We start from the raw sequence: 14372 nt of genomic DNA on the forward strand, positions 1-14372 counted from the left end.
TGACATCTGACTGATATCTTCATTTCACTTTGGTAAACAGGCCACCTCAAGGCCAAGGTGACAGTGACCTCTGGCGCTGCACACCGCACAGGATTCTCCCTGGGGACCCTGGCGAAGCACTTTCGCATCGGCAAGAGCTCCTATTTCCCCTCCCCACCCTCTGATTAGTGCTGACGATAAATAAATAACCATCCAACAGAATAGACAGCGGGCAGGCAAGCTGGACAGAGAAAGAGAAGTGTGGAAGGGCATGAGGGAGGGTTGGGAGAGGCAGAGGGGGAGTCGGACTTAGAAGGTTGCCTCTGCTGCTCTCCCACTAAGAACAATGCAGCTGCCCAGGAAACACACCCGAGCTATGAATAGGCTCAAGCACACAGGGCGAAGCTGTCGCATTTCTGCCGTTTAGAAAGGATCTCTAGTGTGAAGTTGCTTGGAGGCTCTGATTTTGCAAACCCAATTAAATATAGATTTCTTTGGGGTGACGGTTGGGAAGGGTGTGGGTGGAATGTATGTCTGTGCTGCAATGCAATTTAATCCTGAAAGTTTCAGCAAACCTATTCACACACTCCATAAACATTTCTGAGCACCTGCTGTGTGCCAAGTGCAAGGCACATCCAGCTGAAGCACACTTTGCCCCCCAAAAACCCATGGTCCAATGGAGTTGCAATGGCTACTACCTACCAGGGTCAGGCAGGCAACATGAATGAATGAATTAGGGAGGGTGTGGGACATTAGGGAGCGGTGGGGACTGTGAGAACGAAGTGCATGTGTCCTCTGTACAGGGACTGGGGAGCTATTCAGTCTCAGTTGACTGTCCTGTATTGTGCCTTATGATTTTTAAGGGGAAGCCATATGTTTGGAATTGCTTGTGTGTGTGTGTGTGTGTGTGTGTGTGTGTGCGCGTGTGGTTTTTATTTCTATTTTTTTTTTCTTTAAACACTGTGTGGGCCAAACAAACCATGTCTGTAGGCCTATTGGGACCAGAGAGGATCTTCTAATAACATATAATAAGAGTGACATAGAAGGCATCCCAGGGGCTAATGGAAGCCCTAAGTGGGGCATTTAACCCAGCCAAGGGTGGAGTTGGGAGTATCTTCCCAGTGCAGGTGAACTGAATCTTGGATAATGTTAGCCTAAATCATGGCCTGGTAAATCATGAATGATGGTGTAAATGATTGGAAGAGCCATTCCAGGCAGAGTAGTAATTTAGCTGGGCACTTTGCACATGCCTGCCCAGCTAAAGACTACATCTCTCAGCCACCCTGGAAACCAAGCATGGCCACCTGACTCATGGTATCTGTCTCAGTCCTTAAAGGGAAGGAGGGTTCCATTTGTCTGCACACCCCCGCCCCCCTTCCTTCTGGCTAGCAGGCGTGGTTGTCGCCAGCATAGATTGTGGAGCTGGCAACTCGACTTCTTTGGCTTCAATTTCTGTAAAATTAGGATATTATCTACTCTGAGAGATTTTGAGGGTTAAAGGCTTGATACTTATAAAGTATTGAGAACAGTGCCTGGCACATACATGGGCTGCCAAGGCATCATCTCATCAATAATTTTCTGTGGACGGTATTCTTTCGCAGCACTCTGGGGAAGGCAGAGCAACAAGAGGGCAAGAGCCTGGGTCCCCGTCCCAGACCTGCACCTGCACTAATATGTGAGAAGGCAACTGCACTCTCACCTAAGGCCCAGTGTTTTGAATCTCTGATGCAGCAACCAGGCTTACAATGAGTAACTCAGAGATTGGGTGGGGTTCTTCCTGGCCAGTGAGAACCAGAGAAAATGGCCTCAAACTGCCCCAAACGGCATGGCCTGTAAAGTCCAGAGTAGCACTAATCCCCAGGCACATGTGGCTCCTGGAGCCTCTGCCTCATGAGCTCAGCTTTCTCCTGTGCCAACCTGGCCTGACACATTAATGTTCTCAAGTGACCTAGCCCATTCTCTAGTTTCCATTCGTCAGCAACGACAGCCATTGACATGACCACCATGTGAAGAATTGCTGGTCTAAGCTGGCTTCACTGAAAGAGGTTTACTGAGTGAGTGCCTGGATGGAGCAGAGCGTGACCATCACACAGACATGACCCCCTGCGGAGGTATCTCCCACCCCAAGTCTCCTTCCCCTCTGTCCCAGGAGCCCATTTTTTCCAGCTGTGTCTGTGCAGAGGCCACACCTCCCAGAGGCTCCTCCTACCCAGGACTGCCTGGCAGGAATTGAAGGGGAGCTATCACTGGCAGACACGGAACTCTGCTGTTACTAGACCTTGGCTCAAGGAAGGCACTGCCAAGCCTATCAAGTTGGCACAACTGCCTAGAATGCTTCTACCCAATCTTCCTTCCCTCTGTCCTCCACTCAGGGTCTTGCATCACATGGCCTGACTGCTCTCTCTACCCTCCCTTCCACCCATTTTCTCTCACAGGCATTTGCCTTCATGAAACCCCTGTGCATTAACTCCCATCTCGGCATCTGTTTCTCCTGTAATAACAGTCTGCCAAAGTTTCTTGGAAGAAGAAAGAGATGCAATTAGTTCTTTCTCACTTAGGGGACTTAATCTACCCCCAGGACGATTTGCATATCTAAACAGAACAATACCTCACTAAGGGTGGTATTTCAGGCACCTGGAATACATGTGGGTCATGGTGGAGCTTCCCCAGGTGCCCTCAGATATAAGGGTCTGTTCTGTCCTTAGACAACTGGGAAAGTGAGGGTGCAATGTCTGGGAGTTGGGAAAGGCCTGGAGCTTTGACTAAGCCTGTTTCAGTCTCTAGGAAGCAATGGGAGGTATCTCATGTACCAGTTGGTATGCTTTAGGTAGCAGGTAAGAGAAACCCCAATGCCAAATGGTTTAAAGAAGAAGAAAGATCTATGACCCAAGGCAGGGTGTCTCCTGGGGTTCTCCACATTTCCAAGCATCCAGGTTTCTTCTACTGTCCTTCCTTTCTGGGGTCCTGGGCCTGTCAGTCCTGCCTCAAGTTGTTCTCCTCATGGTGCCAGGATGGTTGCCATAGCCCAGTCATCACACTCAAATGTACTAATGTTCAAAGGCAAAAAGAGACTGGCATTTTTGTGTTTCTCATTTTAAGAGTGAGCAGTTTTTCCCAGAGTCCTTTAGCAGGACTGTGGTCAAAATCAGATCACATGCAGTTTTGTATTCATCGTTGTCAGGGGGAATGAGATTGCATGTTCGGCTTGGACAACTGGGATTTAGTCTTGAGCTAGGAATAGTTACCTTGCCTGAGGAGTGGAGATCAGAATATGACTAGGTTTCTGTTAGCAGAGATAAAAGTGGAGGATGGCTCTTGGGAGGAAGGCAATAGTGTCTTCTGCAGCCTGCACGGGTTTGAAAAACGTGTTGATCCGTCCTCACTTTTCACCATTCAAGGTTCTCACTCTCTATTTTTGCTGAACTGTCTTTTGCTTTCCTTGATCTCAAAAGGCAGGAATTTCTTCTTGGTCTCTTGACTACAATTGGTTCTATTTAGCATCTTGCTGGTAGCCAGAATTGGTCTGATTCCTGTAGCTCATTTTACTGGTAAGTTAACTTTTGGCAGCAAGTGATTAAAATTTTTAGAAGTAATCAGAAGTAATGAAAGATCATTTAGAAATAATAACCTTCTATGTGATTTTATATTGAACATGACCTCTAAGTTCCCTTCCAGCTTAATGTTGCACCATAGGAACACAAGCCAGGTCAGCTTTGGGTGACCCAGGTCTTGGTTCTGGCATGCTGTGCAATTTGGGACAAATGAATGCTCCTCTCTGGGCCTCAGACTGTCAATCCAAAAACTGATTGGGGTGGGTTAGATTTGGGATGACAAATCACTTCATTTGAGCAGCTAAGTCAGCCTGAGGCATTATGCTAAAGACGACTCAGAAGTTCAATGGTGGAAAGTGCCATAATCCATTAGTGATGTCTGCCAAGGGTGTGAGATGGGAGAGGATTAGCACACTTTTTGTTGACTGAACTAGAGAATCTCAAATAACCCTTTAGCTCTACTATTCTTTGGTTTGAATTTCTTTCTTCCTCATAATTTATAGTGAGATTTTCAAGAGCCAATCTAGTGTGATAAGGAAATTGGCCTCTGATGGACCGGAAGCTGTGTGACCTTGGGCTTTTGGTTTTCAAACACAACATCATTTTGCCACTAGAATTCCTCCATCCATATAGAATCAGAAATAAAATCTTGGTCTGTATCCTCTTTACAAATGAACATGTCCTGCTTTATAGGCAGGTGCAGGTGTTGATATAGATACAAATATATAGATGAATATATGTGTGTAAATACATACACATGTTACATATATGTATACATACATACATATACTCATATGTCTACAAAGCAAGCATGATACATACTAATTCATTCACTTAGTCATTCAACATATATATGTTGCAATCCTATTATGTGCCAGGCATCGTTTGGGTGCTGAGATACAGCAGGGAGCAAGATGATCAGTCTCTGATCTTCTCAAGGAGAGATCTGAGACTGATCATCTTGGAGCTTTTATTCTGGGAGGAGGTTTTATTCTGGTCACAGAGAGAGAGACAATAAACAAATGAGTACATATTATTACATCAGTGTTGTGGAGAAAAATAAAACAAGATTGGGGGTGCAAGGTGATCCAGAAAGGAAAGTCTTACTTAGGATGAATTGAGATGCCTTCTTAGGTGACACCAGGTAGAAACCTGAAGGTGGTGAGGAAGTGAGCTCAGCAAAAACAAGACAGAAGAACATTCCAGGCAGAGGGAACAGCAATCACAAATGCTGTAAGGCAGGAATGAGCTTAGCAGCTTCAGGAAACAGCAATGAGACCAGTGTGTAAGTGTGTGTTCAGAGGAACACGTTGCCAGAGGAAAAGAGTCTTGGGAAGGGCAGGTGAGGTCAGGAGGGGCCATGTATTGGTCAGTACAGGCTGCCATAACAGACTACTGCAGACTGCATGGCTTTAACAACAGATACTTGTTTTCTCACAGCTCTGCAGACTTGAAATCCAAGATCAAGGTGCTGGTGGGGTTGGTTTCTGGTGAGGTCTCTCTCCTCAGCTTACAGACAGCCACCTTCTAGCTGTGTTCCCATACGGCTTTTCCTCTGTATAAGCAGGAGGAGAGTGCTTTGCTATTTCTTCTTCTTTTTAATTTATAATTTAATTTTTTTTTTTTTGTAAAGACCAGGTCTTGCTATCTTTCCCAGGCTGGTCTTGAAATCCAGGCCTCAAGTGATCCTCCTGCCTTGGCCTCCCAAAGTGCTGGAATTACAGGTGTGAGTCACCACGTCCAGCCACCTCTTCTTAAAAGAACACCAATCCCATCAGATTAGGGACCCACCTCATGACCTCACTTAACCTTAATTATCTACTTAAAGACCCCATCTCCAAATACAGTCATCTTGGGAGTAAGGCCTCAACATATGACTTTGGTGGGACACAATTCAATTCATGACACCAGGTCATGCAGCACTCTGCAGGTGGGGAGACGAGGATGGTGTTGTCAGTGGGATAGAGGCTATGAGAGGGCTCTGAGGAGGTGAGGGACTTGGGTTTTAAAGAATCCTTCTGCCTGCTGTGTGGATGGAGTATCTGAGAAGGGAGGGGCACAGCCAGGAGGGAAGCGGCATTCACAGGAGCTGAGTGAAGAGACTGATGTCATGAAAAGGTAACAGGTGATGGTGACTCTGGCAGTCGAGGGGGTGGTGAGAAACGGTCAGGTTCTGGATAGATTTTGAAGACGGTGCTGACAGGGTTTGGGATGAATTTTATCTCAGAACGAGGAAAGAGGACTCAGAGAGGACTCCTAGATATTTGGCCTGGAGCAGCTGGTGTAAGGTAGAGCTGTACACGAGGAAGGAAAAAACTGGGCAAGGGTAGGAGTGGGGCACAGAAATCAGGGTCCTGCTTGGGGCAGGTTGAGATGTCCATTCGACGGCTATGGGGGTGTCTGGAGTGGGAAGACACAGATTAAGTTGTATCTGCTAATACGCATTTCAGGACTACCATGCCTCAGAGCCAGTGCTCCGCATTTTATACGTGGGATCTCCTTTAATTTTCATAACAACATCTTGAACAGTTTATACTATTTTTTATTAAATCTAAAACTGTTGATTGTGTGACATGCTGTGGTTCCAGATCTGCTAAAATGTGAAAAATTACGCATCTTAGAATAGATGAAACATGATAATATTGTGTCCAAAGTTTGTTCCTTCCAGTGGGTTCATGGTCTCACTGACTTACAAGAATGAAGCCGCGGACCCTCGTGGTGAGTGTTACAGCTCTTAAGAGTGGTGAAGACCGAAAGAGTGAGCAGCAGCAAATTTACTATGAAGAGTGAAAGAACAAAGTTTTCACAGAGTGGAAAGGGACCCCAACGGGTTGCCACTGCTGCGGTGGCCAGCATTTATTCTCTTATTTGTCCCCGCCCATGTCCTGCTGATTGGTCCATTTTACAGAGTGCTGATTGGTCCATTTTACAGAGCACTGATTGGTCCATCTTACAGTGTGCTGATTGGCCCATTTTACAAACCTCTAGCTAGCCACAGAGCGCCGATTGGTGCATTTTTACAGAGTGCTGATTGGCTCATTTTACAAACCTCTAGCTAGCCACAGAGCCCTGATTGGTGCGTTTTTACAGAGCACTGATTGGCACATTTTACAAACCTCTTGTAAGACAGAAAAGTTCTTCAAGTCCCCACCCAACCCAGAAGTCCAGCTGGCTTCACCTCTCAATATTATTTTCATTTTTCAGATAAAGAAACTGAGACTTCAGTAGCTTGGTAGTATCTCAAGGCTAGTAGTGGTCAGAGTTGGGATTCCTGCTCTTGATTCTTCCTGGTTACTATTTACAATACATGTGAAATGCTTAGCAACATGACTGGCACACTGTGGCCCTGATGATCAGCTGTTTAATGCAATGCACAGTACACAACACAACATGCATTCTACAATATGCTGTGCATACAGGTCAGAAGACAGTGTGCAGGCCTTGTGCAAAGGACCATACCAATGTCTTGGAGCTAAAAAACCACACATTTAGGTATACTATTGTATAACTGCCCTGTAGACTCCAATTTGCAAGTATTAGAGTGAGAAAAAACATATTCTTAAGAATAAACAACCTAAATCCTGCACCAATTCAATTTTGCTTTGGGGTACCAGGAGAGAGAAATTTTTCTCAATACTTATCATGCAATCTCCCTTGTTTTCAAGGAAAAGTGTTTCTGCATAGAAACACTCAAGTCAAAGGGCAGCTGCCTGTGGGACATGTGACTCTGGGGGTTTTTTCACACATCAGCAGCTGCAGTTTTGGAACTGGGTGAAGGGTATTTCCACCCTCTGCAAAATGAAGGCTAAATGAAAGCTACCCAGATGAGAACTGTTTAGATGAGAGGAATATAAGCCGTATGCTTGGGCCTTAGATATTCCCAGTTTCTTCTCAGAAGCGGAAAGTTGTTCCGAACAGGGTCTAAGCATGATAAGTCTGGAAGATTTAGAAATACTACGCATTTTGTGACGTGTGGAAGTCATTGTCATCGATTATTTATTTTGTCAATGGGGCTTGTCTTAGGATCTTGGTAGTCAAAGGCCAGAAAAATTAAGTAGGTCTTACAAGGACTCAAAAATTCAAACTTGTCAACTCAACAACAACAAAAACCCTCAAACAACCCAATTACAAATGGGCAAAGGCCTTGAATAGACAATTCTCCAGAAAAGATACACAAATGGCCAATAAGCACAGGAAAAGATGCTTAACATCATTAATCATTAGAGCAAGGCAAATCAAAACTCTGTCCATTAGGATGGCTACTATTGTTTAAAAAGCATTAAAAAGGATGTGGAGAGCCAGGCGTGGTGGCTCATGTCTGTAATCCCAGCATTTTGGGAGGCTGAGACGGGCAGATCACGAGGTCAGGAGATGGAGACCATCCTGGCTAACATGGTGAAACCCTGTCTCTACTAAAAATACAAAAAAAAAAAAAAAAAAAAAAAAAAAAAGAAAATTAGCCAGGCGTGGTGGCGGGTGCCTGTAGTCCCAGCTACTCAGGAGGCTGAGGCAGGAGCATGGTGTGAACCTGGGAGGTGGAGCTTGCAGTGAGCTGAGATCATGCCACTGCACTCCAGCCTGGGTGACAGAGCGAAACTCTGTCTCAAAAATAATAAATAAATAAATGAATACATAAATAAATATAAAAAGGATGTGGAGAGATTGGAACCCACGTGCACTATTGGTGGGAATGTAAAATGGTACAGCCACTGTGGAAAATAATCTTGCCATTCTTCAACAATTTAAACAGAATTACCATGTGATTCAGCAATTGCACTTCGAGTTTATAGACAAAAGAATTGAAAGCAGGGTCTTGAAGAGATAATCTGTATACATCCATGATCACGGCAGCATTATTCACAACAACCAACAGGTAGAAACAAACCAAGTATCCATAGACAGATGAATGGATAAATGAAATGGGGTCTATCCATTCAAGGGAATTTTATTCAGCCTTTAAAAGCAAGGAAATTCTGATCATCCATGTTCAGATCCATGTTCAGATCTGTGTTCCTCCAACATGGATGAACCTTGAGGACATTATGTTAAGTGAAATCAGCCAGACACAAAAGGACAAAGATTGTATGATTCCACTTAAATGAGGTTCCTAGAGCAGTCAAATTCAAGGAGACAGGAAACAGAATGGTGGTTGCGAGGGTGGAGAGCAAGGGGGAGTTTTTGTTTAATGGGTAGAGTTTCAGTTTTGCAAGATGAGAAAGTTCTGGAGATGAACAACGGGGATGGCTGCACAACAATATGAATGTATTTAATGCCACTGAACTGTACACTTAAAAGTAGTTAAGATGGTAACTTTTAAGTTATGTGTATTTTATCACACACAACAATGTGGACTTATCTATTTAGAATAGGTATGCTCCCTGTTCCTCCATCACTGCCTGTATACAGTAGGTGCTCAATAAATGAATGAAAAAGAGTCATCACTGATGTAAACCAGATGTCCCTCCTCCCTGATGCAGGTTCGGTCTGGACTTGGAACTCAGCCTCCTTGTTGCTACTCACCAAAAAACAAACCAAAAAACAAACAAACAAAAACAAAAAAAGATGCATTCCTGTAGACCTGTAGATTTTTCAGAAGATCTCTGTGATCACAGGGTGGGGTCTGATCCTACAGTTCACATCAAAATCTTAAAGAATCTCATGCAACCACCAAGTAGTGTTCTTCTATCTGCCCTTCTTCCCTTGAGTTGTGCAAAGAAATACTGCTCCCTACAAGGTACGGATACTGATTTGATATTGTACTGATAATGATCAGTACAATAATTGGTCTCCCAGTACCTCCCGAGTTACTGAGACTGCAGGCATGCACCACCACGACCAGCTAATTTTTGTATTTTTAGTAGAGATGGAGTTTCGCCATGTTGGCCAGGCTGGTCTCAAACTCCTGACCTCAGGCGATCTGCCCACCTCAGCCTCCCAAAGTGCTGGGATTACAGGCATGAGCCACTGTGCCCAGGTGGGTTTTTATTTAAGTAAATTACTGGGGCTTCTCCAAAACTGGGCCCTCTAGGAAACAGGGCTGACCTTGCCAGAAGGCAACATAGGAGCCACACTTGTTATCAATGTATGCCATCGGGGTCTCCCAGTACCCACGAGTTGCATAACTTCAGGAGACAGTGTATTCTTAGGTTGTATAGTAGCAGCCCTCGCCATCCATAGCCCTACCCACTTGCTCCCCAAATATTTGTTCTAACTCCTCAAGTGCATTCCCTGAAAGAAATTTTGGTGGATTAAATCATTTTGTTCTAGCAAGGGACATGGGCCTTTCTTCTTTGTCATGGATTTTATACTGAATGTCATATTCTATATTTCTAGCAAGGGGTGAATAGCTAATAGCTAGATCCTCGCTAAGCAGATGAACCGTGAAAAGCACTTTGTGAGACAGTCACTCTAAATTCTCACAAAGGGCTAGATTACACCGTGGATTTGGCACCATTAGCCAGAGAGCCCAGGTGACTGGGCCCAGCAAGCTGGGACACAGTTTTTCTTAACTTTAGCCAGGGTGGATTCAGTAATGCCAACATTTTCCAACTTTTGGAAAAATAGCCCAGAAGTTGCAGTATTCTTATTCAATTGAACTTCAAGATGACAGCAGATGCTAGAGCCAGGCAGGATTCAGGCTCCCTGCCATAGGGACATACCATGTCTCAACCTCACTCAAGCTTGAGGACAATGGACATTCCCCAATCCTCTTTGTGACAGGATTTTTATTTAATCACTATATACTTTTCTTTTTCTTTTCCTTTTTTTTTTTTTTTTGAGATGGAGTCTCACTCTGTCACCCAGACTGGAGTGCATTGGCACAGTCTTGGCTCACTGCAACCTCTGCCTCCCAGGTTCAAGCGATTCTCCTGCTTCAGCCTCCCGAGTTGCTGGGACTGCAGGCATGCACAATGCCCAGCTAATTTTTGTATTTTTAGTAGAGACGGAGTTTTGCCATGTTGGCCTGGCTGGTCTCAAACTCCTGACCTCAGGCGATCCGCCCGCCTCGGCCTCCCAAAGTGCTGGGATTACAGGCATGAGCCACTGCGTCCAGCCGGGTTTTTATTTAAAACCACAATATATTGATCGTTTTCAAAGTGCATGTGTCCCCTGCTCTTCTAGTGGGGACAGTTTGGGGATTGGACACAGTGTTTGAAGTGGTATCAGGAGCGATTCTGGAGAGGTCCCATCCCACTCTCATCCAGGGTCCCTTTACTGCTTAGAAAATTATAGAAGTATTCAGTGCTCCAGTCTTTTGAAACTGTGCCTTTGAAGCCTCAGTAAATTCAGAAAAGTCTTGATGGGGGAAGACGGGCAGCTGCTCTACTTAGGTTGGCATAAAATTTAATATGGACCAAATGTTCTGTTATTAAAAGTTTGAAACCCACTGTCATACACTATACAAATGTTAGGAGGTCCTACATAATATTGAGAGGTGAAGCCAGCTAGACTTTCTGGGTCGAGTGGGGACTTGGAGAACTTTTGTGTCTTACAAGAGGATTGTAAAATGCACCAATCAACACTCTGAAGCTAGGATTGTAAAATGCAACAATCAGCGCTCTGTAGCTAGCAAGGGGATTGTAAAATGCACCAATCAGCACTCTGTAAAAACGCACCAATCAGCGCTCTGTAGCTAGCAAGAGGATTGTAAAATGCACCAATCAGTTCTTTGTAAAATGCACTGATCAGCAGGATCCTAAAAGTAGCCAATTGCAGGGAGGATTGAAAAAAAGGCATTCTGATAGGACAGAAACAGAACAAGGGAGGGGACAAATAGCAGAATAAAAGCTGGCCACCCCCCAGCCAGCAGTGGCAATCTGTTCGGGTCACCTTCCACATTGTGGAATCCTTGTTCTTTCGCTTTTCACAATAAATCTTGCTGCTGCTCACTGTTTGGGTCTGTGCCACCTTTAAGAGCTGTAACACTCATCGCGAAGGTCCGTGGCTTCATTCTTGAAGTCAGTGAGACCACCAACCCACCGGCAGGAGCCAACTCTGGACACGATATGTCCATATTCTATATTGTGTACAGCATTGTAAATGTAAACTGTACATCGGGATCTCCCCATCTTCTCCTTTGAGCTTTTCCAAATAGTTTGCTCACAGAATGTGGAATTTACTGATGGTCTCATGGGGAAGCAAGAAGAGAAGCTCTTATAGCACAGTAAGTTGCTTAAAGATTACCGTTAGCCAGCCGGGCGTGGTGGCTCACGCCTGTAATCCCAACACTTTGGGAGGCCGAGGCAGGCGGATCACGAGGTCAGGAGATCGAGACCATCCTGGCTAACATGGTGAAACCCCGTCTCTACTAAAAACAAAAAATTAGCCGGGCACGGTGGTGGGCGCCTGTAGTCCCAGCTACTCAGGAGGTTGAACCAGGAGAATGGCGTGAACCCGGGAGGCGGAGCTTGCAGTGAGCTGAGTTCGCACCACTGCACTCCAGCCTGGACAACAGAGCGAGACTCCGTCTCAAAAAAAAAAAAAAAAAAAAAACCTTACCGTTAGCCATGCTGCTGATTCTCATTTCTCCTTTCCACTGAGCAGTCCTGGGCATGGCATCACGCAACCTTGGTGTCTCCTCTCTCCCTCCCTCTGTAGAACAATTACATTCTGCCCCAGACTGGCACACCCCCAGGCTTCTTGTTGCTCGGTTCTGTGCTTAACCAAGCACCATCTTCTCAAAAGAACATCCAAATCTCTGCCCTCTGGGAGGCCTCCTCCACCCCAGTCAAGTGGTTCGTGAAGGGGGACTCCTTCAAACACAGTTTTCTAAAGACGGGTCTTGGCCGTGCAATCCCCACCATCATTAGGAACCAACACTTCCAGACGTTAAGGGCTGAATTGTATCTCCCCCAGATTCACATGTTCAAGACCCAACCCCTAGTGTCTCAGAATGGGACTGTGTTTGGAGACAGGGACTTTATCGAGGTGATTAAGGTAAAATGGGGTCATATGGGTGAGCCCTAATGAGCAATATAACTGATGTCTTTTTTTTTTTTTTTTGAGACAGGGTCGCACTCTGTCACCCAGGCTGGAGTGCAGTGGCGGTAATCATGGCTGACTGCAGCCTCCACTTCCCAGGCTCAAGTAATCCTCCCACCTCAGCCTCTGGAGTAGCTGGGACTACAGGTGCATGCCACCACACCCGGCTACTTTTTATTTTTTATTTTTTATAGGGATGAGGTCTCTCTATGTTGCCCATGCTGGTCTTGAACTGCTGGGCTCAAGCAATTATCCCACCTTGGCCTCTCAACATGTTGTGATTATAGGCGTGAGCCACGACACCCAGTCGTGAGTGATGTCTTTATAAGAAGAGGAGATGGGACACAGACACGCACAGAAGGAAGAGCACATAAAGACACCGGAAGAAGACAGCCATCTATCTACAAGCCAAAGCGAAGCCTCAGGAGAAACCAACACTGCGGATACCTTGATATTACATTTGGAATAAAATGTATTGGGATAAAAACCCCAATACATTTCTGTTGTTTAAGCCACCCAGTCTAGGGCGCTTTGTTATGGCAAAGCACTCAGGCAAGCCAATATGCCACGTCTCTGCTGCTCTGCTAGGTCTCGGTGACTCTCTCTGACATACAGCATGTGCTCGGTGATACACCAGAAGAATAGAAATCACACTTAGAATCCAGCTCCTTCCTGGTCTGGCCCATTACAGGCCTTTCCAACTTCACATGCCACTCCCCCGTCACTGGCCACTGTTCCATGGGAAAATACACCCAGCTTGTTCCTACTACTGACCCTGTACTTGCCGAGCCCTCTGCATGGGTCTGTTTTTTTCCTGCCTTGGTCTTGCTTGTTACTGAGGTTTGGCAGAAACACCAGCTCCTCAGAGAGGACTTTTGGGCACCCAGTCCCCAAAACTCATTTCCCGTCACATCACTGCATGTGTTCATGGTGTGTAACTCCATCTTTCCTTGCTCACTTATTCATTTACCCAATTAGTTCATCTATCCACATCAGATGTGTGAGTTTTGTGAGAGCAGAAATCGTGTCAGTTGGATGTTTTCTGTTGCTGCTGTAACAAAGTAATGCAAATTTTGTGGCTTGAAACAATACATACATATATATATATATATACACACATAATTTTTTTTTTTGAAGTGGAGTTTCACTCCTGTTGCTCAGGCTGGAGTGCAATGGCGAAATCTCAGCTCACTGCAAGCTCTCTACCTCCTGGGTTCAAGCGATTCTCCTACCTCAGCCTCTTGAGTAGCTGGGATTACAGGCATGCCCCATCATGCCTGGCTAATTGTATTTTTAGTAGAGACGGGGTTTCTCTATGTTGGTCAGTCTGGTCTCAAACTCCCGACCTAAGGTGATCCACCTGCCTCAGCCTCCCAAAGTGCTGGGATTACAGGCATGCGCCACCGCGCCCCCAGCCAAAACAATACAGATATATTATCTTATAGTTGTGTAGGTTGGAAGTGCAACACAGGTGTAAGTTGCATTCCTTTCTGGAAGCTTCTAGGGAAGAATCTTTTTTTTTTTTTCTTTTTTCAGCTTCTAGAGGCTGCCTACATTTCTTGGCTCGTGGCTTTTTGCTCCGTCCTCCAAGCCATTGCATCTCTCTCTGACCATAGCCGGGAAAGTTTCTTTGCCTTCATCCCCACATGATTACATTGGACCCACTTGCATAATCCAGAATAATCTCCCTATTCCAAGGTCCTTAGCCTTAATCGCATCTCACAATCCCTTTTGCCATGTAAGATTACATATTCACTAATTCCAGGGATTAAGACATGGACATCTTTGGGGCGCATTATTCTGACCACCATATCTGTTTTTTCCCTTTATATGTCTAGTGTGGAGAACAGACCAGGAAAT

The 14372-nt window shown here is 45.2% G+C and overlaps 1 annotated feature.

Moving 5' to 3' along the window:
- Positions 7208 to 7417: an enhancer, noted in NCBI's record as "active region_23657". NCBI's record gives its function as "activates an Ori minimal core promoter by ATAC-STARR-seq in GM12878 lymphoblastoid cells {active_cell/tissue: GM12878}" and the evidence as "EXISTENCE:reporter gene assay evidence [ECO:0000049][PMID:35858748]".

The sequence above is a fragment of the Homo sapiens genome, chromosome 5 (genome assembly GCF_000001405.40).
Source record: "Homo sapiens chromosome 5, GRCh38.p14 Primary Assembly".
Taxonomy (NCBI): domain Eukaryota; kingdom Metazoa; phylum Chordata; class Mammalia; order Primates; family Hominidae; genus Homo; species Homo sapiens.